Below are 20,554 nucleotides of genomic sequence, written 5' to 3'. Positions count from 1 at the left end.
TGCACTAAGCCACAGAGATATTGTCAGATCTTGGAAAATGAGATTCTAGTTTTTGTTGTTGTTTGTTTTAAACTGCACTTGGGATGAAAGTATACAGTATGAATAAAACTGTTTGGCTTTAGGCTGGGCGCAGTGGCTCATGCCTGTAATCCCAGCACTTTGGGAGGCCAAGGCAGGTGGATCACCTGAGGTCAGGAGATCGAGACCAGCCTGGCTAACATGGTGAAACCCCATTTCTACTAAAAATACAAAAAATTAGCCAGGCATGGTGGCGCGTACCTGTAATCCCAGCTACACAGAAGGCTGAGGCAGGAGAATCGCTTGAACCTGGGAGGCGGAGGTTGCAATGAGCCGAGATCATGCCATTGCATTCCAGCTTAGGCAACAAGAGTGAAACTCTGTCTCAAAAAAAAAAAAATCGTTTTGCTTTAAAAGTAACCTGTGAAAAGTATTAGGAAGCAAGAATTTTAAATACATTCATAGTCCTAAGTATATTCTTTGCATTTCATGAAGAAAAATGTGTGAAGAATGCAGTGCTTAAAAAGCTAAAAGTAGTAAGATGATTAGGAATCATATTTGAAAAAATTGGAAGTCACAAACTACACAGTAAAACTTGAGAGTTTCCCTATACTTTCTGATGGTGTGTGTTTTTGGTTCACGGACCAAAAGGTACAAACATCTGAAATTAGTAAGAAGCTTTCTAAAAGGACAATCAACCTTCAGGGTATGTCACAACCTAGGTGTCGATAATTCCTTTAAAACTTAGGGAATAATGGACTCCAATCAGGATTGTAGATTACAATCAAGAGCCAAGCTTCCGTTTGGACTAGTTTCTATTCAATACTATTCATAGTAGAGTGGCCATCACCTGGGAGCTTATTAGAACTGCTCCAACCCCGACCTACTCAGTTAGCAATTTGCATTTTAAGAACATTCCCAGATGATTCATTTGCACTTTCAATTTGAAAAACACTGATTTATAGCAGTATTTTAGAATAAAAAATGCTAAAATAATATAATGCAGAGGAGGTAAGCTCCTGGGAAGGGTAGCCACAGCTGTGCTCATCATTGCCACTGATCATCTCTAAAAGATGAAAAAAGCTAAAACTGAAGTGTAAACCACAATACCATCCTTTACTATCACTTGTAATCAATGGTAGGATGTACTGCCATTTCCCTAAGTAGACTTGTCCTTGTTAAACATTAAAACTCCTGTGATAGTGTAAATTAAGATGCAATGTGATTGGCAATTGCTGTCAAACTAGATCTTGCTAAAGTTGTTCTTAGTGAGTTGAAGGGTGTAGGGAAGGACGGAGGAATGTGATGTGGAGAGGTCAAGGTGAGGTAGAGATATGGTAGGCAACCTCATCCTGGGAGGCTGCATGCATCTTGGCAACCTACTCTTCCAATTCCCTTGTTTAGTGCATGCACAACAAGCCCTACTAATTAAAGGAATTCTGGCCTCTCTACCATAAACCTAGAAGCCCCAATCAGAATTGCCCCAACAAAATGGAATCAAGTAGCACCAAATCCGGATATAGTTGGGCCCTGCACAAAGCAGCCAGGAATGGATTTGGAGAGAGGGGTCAACTCTCACTCCCCCAGTCCACTGTTTTGGACACAACAGAGGTTCTCTGAACTGGGCGCCAGTGCATATGCACTTGAAGAAAGTGCTTTTTGTATTCACATGGTAGCCCCATCCCCACTGAAAAGGAGCCCAAACAACTTGGGCTTGCATGAAGGATGGGGCCCAACTCACCCTCCCTACACAGAATGGCAGTGGCTTGGCAATGGAAGGCAAACAAACCACAAGAGTTGTCAGACTGGAGGAGGAAGCTCTGCCCCAAGCTCATTTTGGTGATAGTGTTACAGTAGGTAGCTAGTCAGGCATGAGAAGGCAAGAGAGGGCTCCCTCTTCACCCCGCCAGAAAAGTCAGGTGACCATCAGCTGATGGTCAGGCAGTTGTTAACTGTCCCTCTAAAATAATAATTGGTCATAGCCAGCACCGGGGAAAGGCAGTCTCGCTATAGATAGGAAACACATGAAGCTGGTGATCAGCCCCTTTTGATAAGATCTTCAGGAGTTGGGCGCGTGGGCTTACACATGCACATTAAAAGCAAAATGGCAGAATTTAACTGGTATATCACGTCCAGGGGTATTCCACCAGAAAAGGATGCAAGACACCAGAAGTAAGCCAGCACAGAAAATCCTAAGTCCAAGGCCAAACAGGGCACTTGACCTCCAAGTTGGCTGCTTGGCCCTCTTCCAAGTGTGCTTTACTTTCCTTTCATTCCTGCTCTAAAGCTTTTTAATAAATGTTCATTCCTGCTCTAAAACTTGCCTCAGTCTCTTCTTCAGCCTTATGCCCTTCAGTCAAATTCTTTCTTCTGAGGAGGCAAGAATTGAGGTTGCTGCAGACCCATATGGGTTCACCACTGGTAACAGTAGCTGCCAGAGGGGTCTATCTGTGCCTCATATCCTTAGGCCAGAAGCCAAAGACAAAGTCTATTCAAACTGAAGATCATGAGCCCTGGAACAGTGGCATGATAGGAAGATCACTTTCCTGCCTGCTCAGGATGAAGAGCTGGTGCACTCCCATCTTCCTGCCCCTAAAACTGAGACCTCAGCACACCCTGACATAATCTCCCTACCACCACCACCTGCCCCACCCCCCATCAGGGCAGGTGTTTCCATTAATTAGCCTACCTGAGGAAAAGCTGGCTCTTACTCTTAAGAGCCACGTACTGGAATGAAGCCTGAAATGCACCACCAAATAACCTGCTTCCAGGAGGGCATAGTGCTAATGCACAAGGTAAGCTTCCTGAGACCTCCACACCATTATCTCCACGCCCTGCAGGAGATAGTGTTTTGGCTCATATGTTCAGTACATGGCTACAAAAAGCAGCACAGGAAAAAGAAAGGGAAGAAAAGAGACAAATTGTTTGGAAAGCTAAGCCTTCCCTCAATTAATGAGTAAAGGTTTTTGCCTTTTTAAAATTTTTTAGTTATTTTGGCTAAATGGGTGACTTACGCTGGTAACCTGGGATTTGATATCTGGCAAACTTTCCAAAATTAAGTAATAAATTATGTCTTTTTCTGACCTAATTAATCTTTTAGACATTAGGTCCCCTAAAGTCCAAAAATAACATCATTTGGTTTATTTGGTATAAAACCCATATGACTTAGTGTATGCTGTCAATGGCTATAATTGTTACGTAAAATTGTTGTATGCCACAGAAGTAACAAAAATTTCCCTGTCAATTGTGGCTTTAATAGTGGCTGTCCTAACTAAAACTGTTTGTCATCCATGGACAATTGTTGTCTTGTTTTGGGCCTCTTTAGAAGGTGGTTTTATCGCCAGCTATACAATTCTAACAGGTGTTCTTGAATGCAGGTTTCTAATCACTTTGGAGATTGTGACATTAGAATAGAGGAAAAAACTGCTGGTGGGAATGTCTCTGAGCATGCTAACGCATTATAATCAGTGTATAATGAGCAGTGAGGATAACCAGACGTTACTTTCGTCGCCATCTTGGTTTTGGCAGGTTTTGGTCAGCTTCTTTATTGCAACCTGTTTTATCCGCAAAGTCTTTGTGACCTGTATCTTGTGCTGGCCTCCTATCTCATCCTGTGACTAAGAATGCCTAACCTCCTTGGAATGCAGCCCAGTAGGTCTCAGCCCTATTTTTCCCAGTCCCTATTCAAGATGGAGTCACTCTGGTTAAAATACCTCTGACATATTTCCCCCTCCCTTTTACAAGGGAAACCTCAATCCTGAGGGTTGTAGAGGGATGAAGATCCCTCGTCTGCAACTTCTTCAGGCTGAGTAGGGGTGATGATATTTCTGCCTAACTATTAGGATCTCTTGTATTTGGGGTAGAGAGGAGCTCAGTCAGAAAGAGTCAGTATGGTGAGGGCCATTCATAAATCTGAGTTCCGACAAAAGGTGATATCTGAAAGATTAATAAGTGTTCAATGTAAGAAAACATTGAGTAAGCTTATCCTGCATTCCTACACAAAGAGTACAACAGCAATATATTTCACAACAATAAAGCAAAATAAGTAAAATTAGCCCAAGTAAAAAGGCTTTCCATGAATTGGGCAATTGTTGGAACCAAGCTGATATGGGATTGCTATCTGATTATAATACATGTCCAGGATTAGAATACTGATCTGGATTTTTACATTATCCATCCCTCTTGTTTCTTCTGAGCTGCAGAGATCACTGATTGGTTCACAAGAATAAATAGTCAAAGTTGCAGAAAAAAAACCTTAAAAACAACTGATAAGAATAGAGTCTAATACCAGGTGTACCATAGTTTTTGAACATAATTTTTTTCTCTCTCCAGTCACTGAATTTTACTAAAGACAAATCGTGATAAGACTGATTTGCTATATTATGCTTGGCCTGATTATTTGTATAAAGTGCAGCAAGAATAATTGTTTTTCATATAGGCTTCAAAAAAAATTTTTTTTGAGGCAGAATTTTGCTCTTTTTACCCAGGCTGAAGTGAAATGGCACAATCTCAGCTCACTGCAACCTCTGCCTTTCAGGTTCAAGCAATTCTCCTGCTTCAGCCTCCCAAGTAGCTGGGATTACAGTCATGTGCCAACATGCCCTGTTAATTTTGTGTTTTTAGTAGAGTCATGGTTTCACCATATTGGCCAGCCTGGTCTCTAACTCCTGACCTCAGGTGATCTGCTCACCTTGACCTCCCAAAGTGCTGGGATTATAGACATGAGCCACCATGCCCAGCCTTCATATAGGCTTTTTAAAATTGACTTTGATGGAACTTTGTTCTGTAAAAGGAATCTCAAATAAGACTTTTTTAAAGCCGAGCCCAGCCATGGGTTTTTATCCTCAAATACTTGTAAGTTGGGTAAATTCCTCTCCTCTTGAGACTGGTGCCACACCTGTGTTTCCTTTGTCCCAAGGGGGACTTTGGTGGGCTGTGCTACTCTCCCTTATGGGTGGCCCCTACCTAAAACTAGATCTCCAGGGGGACCTGCAACTCCTCAGGGAACTGTTGGTCCCCTGTGCTTGCCAGAGTCAGACTGGCTTGTGGGGCATATTTGTAGGCGATCTGGTGGTATGGTGATTCAAGGGCAGAGAATCCCGGGGCAGAGCAGTGGCCCACCATGAGTGCACAGCCAGTATGATACCTTCCATCTCAGTACAGGTCTGAGGGAAGTATGGGCGTGCTTGCATGAGCTGTCCACCCAGTTCTCTGTCTGCAGGAAGTTTCCAAATTGCCACTGACAGTGTTGTCCATGGTCACAAGGGCACAGGGGCTCTCCAACAGTTTGGTGGTCATCAGACTGTCATAGGGGTGAGGGGAGCAGAGAAGCAGCCCCACCTACCCTTTCCACGTGTCTTCAAGTTCTTTGGGGGTTGATCTCTGCCAGACTGTTGTTGCTTTCCTTTTCGGCATCGCAACTTCTTCCCATAGGCTTTCAACAGCTTGTAACACTCTTCCCTCAGCTTTATATTCTGAACTTGCCAATTCACCAGTACCTTTGATCTTCTTTCTGAGAAAAACTGGCATCCAATGCCCCTAGTCAGTCATCTTGAAAAAAAAAATACAACAAAACTAGCAGTATTTTTTAAAAGTGCCTAGGAAAAATCTCTCAGAGGAAACTTGAAAAATAAAAAGAAGTGAGACATGGAAGGAGTAGCAGGAAAAAGGTACTAATCTGAGAGCAGAGCAAATATGAGGTAACTATTGTGGGAAAATGCTGGTACTTTAGAACTAAAAATACATCAGTGTTGTTGGAGTGTTATTCATGGCAGAGAATACTGTCACGTGATTTAAAGGTAGGAATCAGGTATTGGGGGGCCTTGTATTCCATGATGAAATGTTTTAATGTTCTAAGTGGGTGATGGTTAATGCTGAGTGTCAACTTGATTGGATTGAAGGAGGCAACGTGTTGACCATGAGTGTGTCTGTGATCATGTTGCCAAAGGAGATTAACATTTGAATCAGTGAACTGGGAAAGGCAGACCTACTCTTAATCTGGGTGGGCACCATCTAATCAGCTGCCAGCATGGCCAGGATATAAGCAGGCAGGTAAATGTGAAAAAGCTAGACTGGCTTAGCCTCCCAGCCTAAATCTTTTTCCCATACTGGATGCTTCCTGCCCTCAAACATCAGACTTCAAGTTCTTCAGCTTCAGGACTCGGACTGTCTTCCCCTTGCTCCTCAGCTTGCAGATGGCCTACTGTGGGACTTTATAAGATTGTTTGAGTTTAATACTTCTTAACAAACTCCTCTTTACATATGTATATCTATCCTATTAGTTCTGTCCCTCTAGAGACTCTGACTGATACAGATTTTGGTACCAGAACTGGTTCTAGAGGAAGAGAATATTAAGAATGGAGTTCTTTCATTGGTTTTGGGATTTCTGGAGTGGGCTGCTTGACATGATTAGACCCCATAATGCTAAGGGCTCTACTTCTAATAGTATGGGGAACACTGAGAGTCTTTAGCATGAACAGTTTAGAGAGTTATGCAAAATAAGTGCATTTGACATATCTGATTCACTGCTTGTGAGAGGCAAGTTTAATGACTCTATACATAATACCTTTGACCATACGTGGAGAACCAAGGAACATAATGAAGCTGGTTGGTTGCTCCTAAGTTCAGTGGACAAAGTGATGAAAGAAAATAATTAAGTAAGGGATTATAACTCCTGGCTTCAGAAGCAGATACTGAGCCTCAAATATTCTAAGATTGCTCTGAGTGGAGTCTTATCTCCTGTAGAGAAAGAGCTGCAATTGTGGAAAATCAGACATAAACTCTTATCATGCGAGTGGCTGACCTACAATGAAAGGTGCATGCACAGCCTTGCCAGGTGTCTACTGTTAAAGTGAGGGGATTGATTGGAAAAGAATGGGACCCTGCATCTTGGAATGGGGACGTGTGGGAGGACCCTGATGAAGCTGAGGACACTGAGCTTGTAAACTCTGATGAAACTTTTTTTGCCAGAAGAAACAGCTTCCCCATCTCCAGTAGTTGTAGCATCCACTCTCCAACCCATGCTGCCATCAGCCTTTCCACCTTTGTCTGAGGAGATAATCCCTGAGCTGCCTGAGGAAATAGTGATGGCTTCCCCTGAGGCAGTTGCCAGGCAAGATAAAGTTGATTCTTGCCTGCATCAACTTTATCTTGCCCCTGTTTGCTTCTAGACCTATAACTAGACTAAACACCCCTGTTTGCTTCTAGACCTATAACTAGACTAAAGTCCCAGCAGGCCCCTAGAGGTGAGATTCAGAGTGTGACCCATGAGGCGGTGCATTACACTCAAAAATAACTGCTTGAGTTTTCTAATTTATATAAGCAGAAATCTGAAGAACAGGCATGGGAATGAATATTAAGGGTGTGGAATAATAGTGGAAGGAACACAGAGTTGGATCAGGCTGAATTTATTGATTTGGGCTTACTAAGTAAGGATTCTGCATTTAATGTTGCAGCTCGGGGAGTTAAAAAAGGTACTAATAGTTTATTTGCTTGGTTAGCTGAAATAGGGGTTAAAAGATGGCCCATTGTGAGCGAACTGGAAATGCCTGATCTACCTTCATTTAATGTAGAGGAAGGGATCAAAGGCTTATGAAGTTTGGGATGGTGGAGTGGATTAGTTATTTTAGACCTACTCATCCCAGCTGGGAAGGTCCAGAAGATACACCCTTCACCAATGTCTCGTAAAATAGGTTTGTGAGGGCAGCAAGTACATCACTGAAGAGCCCTGTAATTGCTCTTCTCTGTATGTGAGATCTAATAGTAGGAATCACAGTCACTCAACTACAAAATTTAAATACAATGGGAATAATTGGATCCTGATGTGACAGGGGTCAAGTGGTGGCACTCAACTGTCAACGGTAAGGTTGGTGTAGCTACCTTAATGGACAGCAAAGGCAAAGCAGGAATCAGAATAGTCAGACTCATGTAGAGCTCTGGCATTCACTAATTTAACACAGTGTTCGTAGAAGTGAAATTGATAGGCAGCCTACTGCATTCCTACTTAATTTATATAAGCAGAAAACTTCCAGGTTGAATGGACAAAAGAGTAATTTGAGTTATAAAAACAGACAATCATGGCCCCTCAATCAACAGAGTTCAGTCAGTTTACAGACCCAGAATCTCTTGAATGAAGGCATTTGGGAAGGAAGGATCCCGCTACACTACCGACAATTTATGCTATTAATCTTTCTCCCATCTTTCTCTGAGGAGACCTCTGGCCTTTTACCCAGGTAACTGTGCATTAGGAAAGGGAAATGATTAGACATTTCAGGGACTACTGGATACAGGCTCTGAGCTGACATTGATTCCAGGGGACCCAAAACATCACTGTGGTCCTCCAGGTAAAGTACGGGCTTATGGAGGTCAGGTAATTAATGGAGTTTTAGCTCATGTCTGACTTACATTGGGTCCAGTAGGCCCCTGGGCTTATGCTGGATTGATAGAATGGTGGAATGGCCTTTTGAAATAACACTTACAACATGAACTAGATTACAATACTTTGCACACTTAGGGTGAAGTTCTTCAGAAGGCTATGTATGCTATGAATCAGCATCCAATATATGGTACTGTTTCTCTCATAGCCAGGATTCATGGGTCCAGGAATCAAGGGGTGGAAGTAGAAGTGGCACCACCCACCATCACCCTTAGTGATCCACTAGCAAAATCTTTCCTTCCTGTTCCCACGACGTTACGTTCTGCTAGCCTAGAGGTCTTAGTTCCAGAGGGAGGAATGCGCCACAAGGAGATGCAACAATGATTCCATTAAACTGAAAGTTAAGATTGCCACCTTGACACTTTGGGATCCTCCTACCTTTAAGTCAATAGGCTAAGAAGGGAGTTACAGTGTTGGCTTGGGTGATTGACCTGGAGTAGCAAGATGAAATCAGTCTACTACTCTATAACGGAGGTAAGGAAGAGTATGCACGGAATACAGGAGATCCATTAGGGCATCTCTAAGTATTACCATGCCCTGTGATTAAAGTCAATGGGAAACTACAACAGCCCAAACCAGGCAGGACTACAAATGGCCCAGACCATTCAGGAATGAAGATTTGCATCACTCCACCAGGAAATAAACCACAACCTGCAGAGGTGCTTGCTGAAGGCAAAGGGAATACAGAATGGGTAGTAGAAGAAGGTAGTCATCAATACCAGCTATGACCACATGACCATTTTCAGGAATGAGGAATGTAATTATCATGAGTATTTCCCCCTTCTGTTGTTAAAAACATTTTTGTGCATGTATACAGTTGTACTAAAAAAATCTTCATTTTATTTCTTTTTTCCTTTATCATGTGAAATACGATTTTTTGACTTCATATCAGCATTTAAGTATTGTTAACTTTGTGTAATGGCATTTGGGTGGAGATTGATGCATTTCTGGTTGTATGAAGGATAGTTGTATTACGTTAGGCATAATTATGACCTTATTGTTGTCTTTATTTGAAAATTATGTATGATCTCAGGGGATGTGTATGGGTTCAACTTGAGGGTCAACCTGATTGAATTGAGTGCCAACTTGATTGAATTGAAGGATGCAAAGCATTGATCCTGGGTGTGTCTGTGAGCATGTTGCCAAAGGAAATTAATATTTGAGTCCATGAACTGGGAAAGGCAGACCCACCCTTAATTTGGGTGGGCACCATCTAATCAGCTATCAGTGTGGCCAGGATATAAGCAGGCAGAAAGACATGAAAGGCTAGACTGGCTTAACTTCCCAGCCTACATCTTTCTCCCATGCTGGATACCTCCTGCCCTTGAACATCGGACTTCAAGTTCTTCCACTTTGGGACATGGACTCTTTTCCTTGATCCTCAGCTTGCAGACGGCCTATTGTGGGAGTTTCATACTCCTTAGTAAACTCCTATATATATTTATATGATATATATATATATATTTCTATGATATATATGTATTTCTATGATATATATATATTTCTGTCTCTCTATATAGTTCTATATACATATACATATAGTTCTATATTGTTCTATATATATATATATATATACATAGTTCTGTCTCTCTAGACAGCCCTGACTAATACAAAATGCAACTCTTTTTTAAATAAAGATTCACAAAAATTTCCAAAATAATGCAAAAGAGGTCCTGAGCATTCTTCATCCAGTTTCCTCTAATGACAACATCCTGCATAACCATAATATAACAATAAAACAAAAAAACCCAACATTGGTACAGTCTACATAACTTATTTAGATTTCACCGGTACAGGTAATCCCCAACTTACTACAGTTGAAGTTATGATTTTTTGACTTTATGATGGTATGAAAGTGATATGTCTTCAGTATAAACCATACACTGAATTTTGAATTTTGATCTTCTCCTGGGTTAGCAATGTGCAGTATTACATTCTCTCATGATGCTGGGCAGCAGCAGAGAGCTGCAGCTCCCAGTTATCCCAGCCATGCTATCAGAAGGGTAAACAACTAATACTCTACAGGGTACTGTGTTGCCAGATAATTTTGCCCAACTGTTGGCTAATGTAAGTGTCTTGAGCATGTTTAAGGTAGGCTAGGTTAAGATGTTATGGTCGGTGGGTTAGATGCATTTTTGACTTATGATATTTTCAACTTAGGATGGGTGTATGAGGAGGTAACCCCATCATAAAACGAGGAGCATCTACATTGCATGCACTCATGTGTGTGTAATTGTATGCAGTTTTATCACATGCATAGACCACAATCAATATATCAACATATAAAACTGTTCTATCACCACATGGATCCATTGTGCTAGCTATTTATAGCCACACCTCCCCTCTCCTTTTCCCAGCTGAATCCTTATCCCCTGGCAAACCACTAATTTATTCCTCTCTTTATAATTTTATCATTTTGAGAATGTCATATAAATGAATTCACATACTATGTAACTTTTAATGTTGGCTTTTTGCATTCAGCATAATTAACCAGAGGTCCAACTAAGTTGTGTGTGTCAATAGCTTGTTCTTTTTTATTGCTGATAAATGCCATAGTATAGATGTGCTACAGTTGTTTTATCCATTTTCCCCCTAAAGAGCATCTGGACTGATTCTAGTTTTTGGTTATTATGAATAAAGCTGCTATAAATATCCATATATAGGTTTTTCAATGTAGTTTTCATTTCTCTGGGATTAATGTCCAAGAGTGCAATCGCCAGATCATATGGTAATTGCATATGTCGCTTTATAATGAACTGCCAGATTATTTTCCAGAATTCTTATATCATTTTTCATTCCTACCAGCAATGTATGGGTTATGCAGTTTCTTTGTATCCTCTCCAGAATTTGGTGTTATCACTATTTTTTATTTTAGCCATTCAAATAGGTGTGTTGTGACATGTCATTGTGGTTTCTATTTGCATTCCCGTATTGTCTAGTGATGTTGAACATCTTTTCGTGTCCTTATTGGACATCTTTAGATCTTATTTGGTTAAATGTCTTTCATTTCTGGCCTATATTTTAATTTGGTTGTTTTCTTATGGTTGACTGTTGATAGTTTTTTACTCCAGACATCATGCCTTTTTCATGTCTTGAAACTTTTTCAAGGTTTCAGACATGAACCTTTTTCATATCTGAAAAACGGTTTGCAAATATTTTCTCCCAGCATGTAGGGTGTCTTTTCCTCTTCTTCACAGGGCTTTTCATAAAGCAGAACATTTTAATTTTGATGAGGTCTAATCTATCAATTTTTCCTTTTGTAGATTATGTTTATGGTGTCATGTTTGAGAACTCCCAGCCAAGCTCTTGGTGGAGAAGATTTTCTCCTATTTTACCTTCTCAAAGTTTATAGTTTTACATTAAAATTTAAACCTATGACACATTTCGAGTGAAATTTTGCATGAAGTATGAGGTTTATTTTTGAGTTTCATATAGTTTTTTGTATATTTATTGAGGGATGGTTAGTTGGAAGTTGTCTCCTGCTAAACAGGTGGACGTTCTTGGTGCTTCTTATTGTGTAGATTGTATGCAGAACATTCCCAAAAAGGGTAAATTAGCAGAGTCAAATCCAAAAAGATTATACTTTGAGAAGCAGAAAATTTAAACCTTTTTTTCTCATCATAAAGAGAGCTACAGTCTTTTGTAGAATGCCCAAGAATATTCCAGGCTTTGGTCATCTCCATGAGCACTCTATCTTACAGTTAAGTAAAGTAGTTGGAAGAGTGAGCTGTAAGATTTAAACTGTTCTGGGAAACTTATATATAACATAGCAATTGAGGAGGAAGTTGGAAAACAGCAAAATTATGTGACTGGGAGAATTACCTAGTAAGTCAGTATTAGAGGGGACTACAAGCCAGTCCTTTACTTTAGAGCTGTATTCACTATACTATCCTACAGCAAACAAGTAAGGGCTCAGTAAATGTTCCCATAGTGTCCAGAAAGAGTTAAAACCTTTTATCTATAAAGGAAGATGTATAAGCATGAATGAAATGCTTTTCATTGATTTCCTCCACTGGTCAGAAAATTAGGCTATGCTATCTGATCATTTAAGGTACAGATAAAATTCTTGCGGTTTTAACAAAATATCTTACGTTGAACAATTGCCTGAGCTGCTGATTTTGAAGAAACTTGGTCTGCAACTCACGTTCGCTGTGGGTAATTAGAATTTGAAACTAATGAAGCAAAAAAGATGTTTAAGGCAAAATATTGCTCACAATATGATACCAGCTATTTTAGTTCATCCGGGATACTGAATAAAATCCCATGGCCTGGGTGGCTTATAAACAACAAAATTTATTTCTTACAGTTCTGGAAGCTGGGAAGTCCAAGATGAAGGTGCCAACAAGATTCAGTGTCTGGTGAGGACCATTTTCCCGGTTCATAGATGGAGACTTCTTGCTGTGTCCTCACTGGATGGAAAGGGAAAACAGTCTCCCATGGGCCTCTTTTATAAAGGCACTAATCTCATTTGTGTTTAGGCCCTCATGCCCTAACCACCAGATCATAGCACCAGCTAAGAAAGATAGCTGAAGTACACATTTGTACTTTCTCAAGTGCTAAATTAAAAGGTATTTGTAAGGTGTTTTCTGTAGCAAGTACCATTAGTTTGAAAAGTGATTTTCCAGAATCAAAAGTGCTCCACTATGTAATAATAAGTCCATGTTGAAAGAACAGGGGAGGTCACTGAAAAATTTCATGCTGCTGATGTATGTATTATTCTGTCTGAAGTTAGTTCATTCAGCTGTTGAGAACATATAGTGGTTTTTTATTTCTTCAGCTTTTATTTCAAGTTCCAAGGTACCTGTGCAGGATGTGCAGGTTTGTTGCATAGGTGAATGTGTGCTATAATGGTTTGCTGCATGGATCTACCCAACACCTAGGTATTAAGCCCAGCATGCATTAGCTATTCTTCCTGAGGCTCTCCCTTCACCTAAATCCTCCGAGGAAAGGAATTTTTAAAAAATATTTTATTATTTCAACAACTTTTGCGGTACAAGTGGTTTTTGGTTACATGCATGAATTATATAGTGGTGGAATTCTGAGGTTTTAGAGCACCCATCACCTGAGTAGTGTACATTGTACCCAATATGTAGTTTCTTACCCCACACCCTCCTCTCATCCTCCCCGCTTTGAGTCTCCAAAGTCCATTATATCACACTGTATGCCTTTGTGTCCTCATAGCTTAGCTCTCACTTATAAGTGAGAAAAATGGTATTTCGTTTTCCATTCCTCAGTTACTTCACTTAGAATAATGGCTTCTAGCTCTATCCAAGTTGCTGCAAAAGACATAACTTCATTCCTTTTTTATAGCCGAGTAGTAGTCCATGGTGTTTGATGGGCACTTAAGTTGGTTCTGTACCTTTGCAATTGTGAATTGGGCTGCAATAAACATATGTATCCATGTGTCTTTTTCATATAATGACTTTGTTTTCTTTAAGCAGATACCCAGTAGTGGGATTGCTGCATGGAATGGTAGATCTACTTTTAGTTCTTTAAGGAATCTCCATACTGTTTTCCATAGAGGTTGTACTAATTTACATTCCTACCAGCAGTGAAAAAGTCTTCCCTTTTCACCACATCCATGCCAACATCTATTGTTTTTTGACGTTTTAATTATGCCCATTCTTGCAGGAGTAAGGTGGTATCTCATTGTGGTTTTAATTTGCATTTCCCTGATGATTAGTGACGTTGAACATTTTTTTCAAATGTTTGTTGGTTGATTGTCTTCTTTTGATAAATGTCCATTCATGTCCTTTGCCCACTTTTTGATGGGATTATTTGTTTTTTTTTTCTTGCTGATTTGTTTGCGTTCCTCATAGATTCAGATACTGGTCTTTTGTTGAATGCATAGTTTGCAAATATTTTCTCACATTCTGTGGTTTGTCTCTTTACTCAAAATTATTTCTTTTGTTGTGCAGAATCTTTTTAATTTTACGAGATCCCATTTATTTATTTTTGTTTCTGTTGCCTTTGCTTTTGGGGTCTTTTGGGGTCTTAGTCAAGAATTCTTTGTCTAGGACAATGCCCAGAAGAGTTTTTGCTAGACTTTCTTCCAGAATTTGTATGGTTTCAGGTCTTGATCCATCTTGAGTTGATTTCTGTATATGTTGGGAGATAGGGATCCAGTTTCATTCTTCTACATGTGACTGGCCAATTTTCCCAGCACCATTTATTAAATATGGTGTCTTTTCTCCAATTTATGTTTTTGTATGCTTTTTCAAGGGTCAATCGGTTGTACATATTTGTCTTTACTTCTGGGTTCTCTATTCTGTTCCGTTGGTCTATGTGACTACTTTTATACCAGTTCCATCCTGCTTTGGTAATTATAACCTTGTAGTATAACTTGAAATCCAGCAATATGATGCCTCCAGATTTTTTCATTTTGCTTATGATTGCTTTGGCTATTTGGGGAGAGCATAGTGTTAATGAGGCCAAAGGCAAAGGCTGTACTCCAATATGGGCCAGTGACGTTTGCTCTCTTCCATAACAGAAACTTTCCTCCATCCCTCCTCAGTTCTCTGGCCACTATATACCACTGACCATATTATTTAACTGGATGTACCATGTAGCAATTTCCACAAAAATGAGAACAGTTTTAAGTGCAGACTAGTTTCCCCAGTTGTAAGATGGATTTTGTAGTCCATGTTAGAAAGGGGTCTTTGGATTAATAAAATACCTACATGTGCTCTGTAGAACTTTGTTCCTCCAGACATAAGTATTCCATGGAGAAAGGGTTTCTGGGATCGAACAACTTGGGAAATTCTGAGTTAAGTGAAGTTAAATTTTTTATTTTTATATTTTCATATTTATTTTTATTCATTTATTATATTTTATGTTTTTATTTTTTAACTGCAGACTTGTCAGAGCCATTATTATACTAATATGTTGTGTGACTCTCAGATTATAGAATTCAGCATTTCCAAATTTATTTGAACTACTCTTTTAGACCACAGTTAGTTACATCTCTCAAGAGACTATTCCAGGAACAAAACAATATGAGACATATGAATGGCTTGCAAGCCCTGTTCAAATGAGGTTATGTTAACCCTGAGGACTGAATGAGGTTATGTTAACCCTGAGAATATAGGCATTAAGGGGAGGCATTTGTATGTCCTGGGCACATGAAGGCTTAGATTTGTTTACTGCCTGCTTAACCAAAAATCTGTGATTCAATATGAGACTGAATGAAAAACAAGCTGTCCTTCAGATTCCCCAAGCATTAAAAAAGGTGTACAGAAGTGAGACAACAGTCAGTATATGAAACAATACAAAATATACCATTGATGATAGAGTTCATATGCCTACCTCCTCAAGTACTGACAAGCCAACAGCTTGCAGACAGAGAGCTAAATAAATAGATGGGCAGTGTGTTCTCTGCTTACCTGCCTAACAAATCTTCCCTTACCCCTGCTGTTGCTAAGTAGCCAGATCCCAGAGGTCTGTTTTGAACACTACCCCTTCCCTCCTCTCCCTTTCTCTTCATTTATGCTTCCCTTTCTTCATTTATATCCTCATCCATTCTGTTGGCTTTGGGTACCACCTCTCATTTCTGTGTCTTTGACTCAGAGCTGTAACCTGAGTCCAAACTTGCCTCACAGGTACCCCAAATTCATCCACTCCAAAATCTAAGTCCCCTCTCCTTCATACTTAAAACCTGATGCTTCTACTTCTCCTAAGAGCTGTGTGAAAGGGGTGCTTCTGGGCATATGTTGGAATGGATTGGTGCTGAGAACATGGTCTAAGTGAGAGGGTGAAAGCAATCATCTCTAGGCTCCTTTCTTGATGCTGGTTTAAAAAGAGAAGTAGTGAACTGTAAGTCCCTGACCAGGCAAAGCCTAGGGTCAGAGTTCCTGTGACTTCTTGTCTTGTGCGGTAGTTAGTTGGAGAGAAAAGCGATGAAGAATGAGAAATCTGGCTGAGATACAGACATAGTTTTGCTAACAGATGTGCACTCCTGGCAGAGGGGCTTCCGTCACTCAGCCTCTCTATTTTCCATGGATGTAAATAGATAAAGATCAAGGGAGGCAACGTTAATAGCTAGGAAGTTCTTTTATTTATTTTTGACAATACAACAGCTGTGACAAGGTGTCTATGACAAAGCAAAACCTTTGGCAAATGAGGAAAATCCCTTTATAAAGACTTCAGATTTCAAGATGTTTTGAAACACTGTATATACCCTTGAAAAGCTTTTTTTTCTCTTTCTTCTAGTTTGAGATATTTGATCATAGTTGGGATTTTGTGGCTGGTGTGGGTTTGGTGGTGTTTTATCCAAACCAAGGAACAAAATTAGGATTTATTATTATCCTGGAGACTACGATTGCAAATGGGGGAATAATACCACTTACTTCATAGAGTGTTCTTAAGTATTAAATAATCATAGTATTTAGTACTTTACTAATCACAATGTAAGAGCCCAATAAGTATTGTTTCATTTTATTTCTCTCAGAAGATGTAGAATGATGTCCTTTTCCCCAGAACACTAGATAGGGAATGGTGCCTGAGCCACTTTGCTACTTGATTACCACTGAATTGCAAATATTCAGGAAGGAAAGAGGACACAAATGTCCAGGCAAAGTGGACCTCCCTTAAAAATACAGGATCTCATTTGTTGAGTTTGTGTTTTTCTAAAAAAAATTTTATACTAAAACCTTAAGTACTTTCTTTCCACCATACTTTTAAAATTTCTTTTCTAATTTGGTCTTGAGGTCTCTCTCTTGAGAGTGTCACTCCTTAGGAGAGCCCTGATGGTGGTGAAGGAAGGTGTTGGGTTCAGGGGGTTTGTCAATTGAGAGAGAATAAGGAAGTGCAACCAAAATGCACGGCACTGAAGAAATTTATTCTTCACACATCCCAGAAAGATGAGGGGTACCTACAGGAAGCTGACAGGAAGTCCTGAGGCAGCAGTGAGTGCAACTAACGAGTGAGGAGTGAAAGAGAGTGAGAGAGAACCTGTGGGACTGGGCCTTTATTAAGGTCCTTGGGTGTAATCTAGTAGGCTTTGCTGTGGAGGTTGTGGATTGGCAAGTTTAAGGAAAACACTCATGAAAGGAGTAACTTATTTACAAGATTCTGGTGTTGACCATTAAGTCTTATTGTGGTCAACAAGTGTGAGGTATGTTGTTTGGCATTTGTGAGATGAGGAAATATTGGGTTGTATTGCAAACAACCACATGGAGACGGGGAGTTTTAACTAGGCCAAAGGTGACAGGGTACTACCGGGTTTGAAACAACCTACGTCAGGCCTAAAAATGAATGCCAAGGCAGCAACAATATTAAACAAATCTGTGACACATATCATTTTCACTGACACAGGAGAAGTGTGCTCAATGAAAGAGTCCATAAACTAAATAATAATGATCAAAATAATAACCACAGCAACAGGGAACATTTGGTTAACACTTAAATGCCACTGTGCAAATCACTTTAGATTCATTATCACATTTAATCCCACAATAACTCTGTTTAGTAGTTACTCTAATTATCCACATGTGACAGCAAAAATGTTGAGTATTATCTGTTGCTGCCCTTTAATAAACGGACCTACTAATAACTGATAGGTGCTTTGTTTGGTCAGTAGCAAACAAAGTGTGGGTATGAGAGTTTGGAAGACCCTAGACAGAGATACTTCACTCTGCCTAAGAAAGGGATAGAAAGAGAAGAATAATGATGCTGGAAGAGAGAAGTCAAAATTGGGAAGGCTAAGCATAAAAGAAGACCTACTGGCTGTGAGATGTTAGACTTGGAAAAAGACATCTAATGGAGATTTGGGGAGGAAAATGTTTTATTTTGTAAACTTATTCCATCAGGCCTCAAATCTGTGTCCTGCTTTACAGTTGGTACAGGAGAAAAAAGGAATGTTGTACATAGATAGTACCAGTATATGGATTATACCATTTCACACATAGAGAAACTGAGGGTTAGAGAGCTTAAGAAGGTCATTCGGAAAAAAGTGAAGGAGCTAAGATTTAAGATTTAAGCTATGATTTAAGCCCTGTTCTTTTTTAAAAATTTATAAATAAAAGAGGTATAATTAACTCACAGTTCTGCATGGCTGGGGAGGCCTCAGGAAACTTACAATTATGATGGATGTCGAAGGGGGAAGCAAGGTACATTTTACATGGTGGCAGGAGTTGGGGGGACCACCATACACGTTTAAACCATCAGATCTCATGAGAACTCACTCACTGTCATGAAAACAGCATGAGGGAAACTGCCCCCATAATCCAATCACCACCCACCAGGTCCCTTCCTCGACATGCGGAGATTACATTTTTTTTTAAATTTTACTTTACGTTCTGGGATACATGTGCAGAACCTGCAGGTTTGTTACATAGGTATACATGTGCTGTGGCGGTTTGCTGCACCTATCAACCCATACTATCCAAGTACCTATGCTTTTAACCATTAAGATAGATTACCTTTCTGAGTCTGTTGGCTTTAAATGTTTTTTATTAGTTTATAATCTCAGACAGTAGCTTTAATCTGAGGCCCATCATATTTTTCCTGCTCATTGCAGCGCTGCAACACGTTCTCCTTGGTCAGTGTATAGTGGATTCCTTTGTCCTTCCTCCTTTCACAGCAACTTTGGGGAAGGTACCAGAGGGTGACCTTTCATGGAATAGGCTTTGAAAGGTTTCCTTGAAGAGCATGGCTCCTGACATTCAATTGAATAGCTTAACGGGACAAAATGATCATCATAAAATAAATAATACAGTGTAAAAGCAATTTGGCAGGAGGCTAACGTTCAAACATTGTTTCCTCACTTAAAACACTTTTTAAAAAATAATTTCAACTTTTTTTTAGATTCAGGGGGTACACATAGGAGTTTGTTACATGGGTATATTACGTGATGCTGATGTTTGGGGTATGAATGATTCCGTCACCCAGGTGGTGAGCATAGTACCCACCGGTTACTTTTTCAACCCTTGCTCCCTCCCTCCCCAGTTTATTAGTCCCCAATGTCTATTGTTGCCATCTTTATGTCCATGAGTACCTAATGTTAAAACACTTTTTAAATGATTTATTTTCCCTCCTGAACAGAAAAAGTTGGAACACTTCCCACATTTTTTCTCTCCAACGTGGAAAACCATCTTGCCTCCATTCCCCTTTTGCCTCTCTCTTCTGAACTGAAATTTTCAAAGCAACTTTGTAATGACCTCAAGTACTTTAAATTCTCATTTCAGTAGAATTCCTCTCCAGGTGTATTCCGTGGGGTTATTGAGCTAACTGGACCTAGACTTATCAAGAGCTATGTGAGAGCCAATCTATGTCAAGAGTCTCTGGGAGGGAGTATCTGCTGGTGTTGGTGGTAAATCCAGTATCTGAAGATGTAGCACCTTCTGTCTTTCAAATGTTCCCAAATGAGTTACTGGAATTGGTGAGGATATGGACCAGTTAGTAGGTAGTCTGTGAAATATCATTGAGAACTCCAGTAGTTACTAGCGTATAGTTTGTTTGCCATAACACAATTTTGTGGTGAAGTGACCCATACATTCTTTTATGTAAATGAATAATCTTTGCATATTTTTAATTATAAAAGAAGTTTCAGACATTAGCCATTTGTGCCTTAAACACTCTAGTTTCTCTCTATTGGCTTTAAATAGGGTATCAGTTTAGGAGGAGAGCTAATTTTTGATTAAACAAAGGAATTCAGACTTCCCTGTTCTGGCATTTGGCAAATCATCTTAACCAACACAAACTTGTCAACAATTGGCCTTTTGTAATTGCATTCACATGAGGAAAGTGATGGAGAATTAAGTGTTATTTTTCTAATGCCCAGGCTTTATGTGTTTTTCTCTGAGTCTCTGGTACCCTTATAGTTAGCTGGGCCTTCAGGCCAGTGGGTTCAGATCTGCCTATTTGAGGCTGAGCAGGAGAGCTTCTTCCTCTTCTACTATCTCCACAGTGTTCCTCTGCCCTCAGAATGATCCTGGAAGAATAGAAAGGTACGGGGCTTCATGCTTGGTTTCCTCACATTCCAAAGACTCCAGTTGTCTCTACACTGGCCTTCATGGAAAAAAACTCCTGGAAACAGTTTTGAAAATCATTATACTCAGTTAGGATTCATGTTGTTTTCCCAAAAACTTGCTAAGGCTGGAGGAC

This window comes from Homo sapiens, chromosome X (genome assembly GCF_000001405.40).
Source record: "Homo sapiens chromosome X, GRCh38.p14 Primary Assembly".
NCBI classification, from domain to species: domain Eukaryota; kingdom Metazoa; phylum Chordata; class Mammalia; order Primates; family Hominidae; genus Homo; species Homo sapiens.
This window is presented reverse-complemented; position numbering follows the sequence as displayed.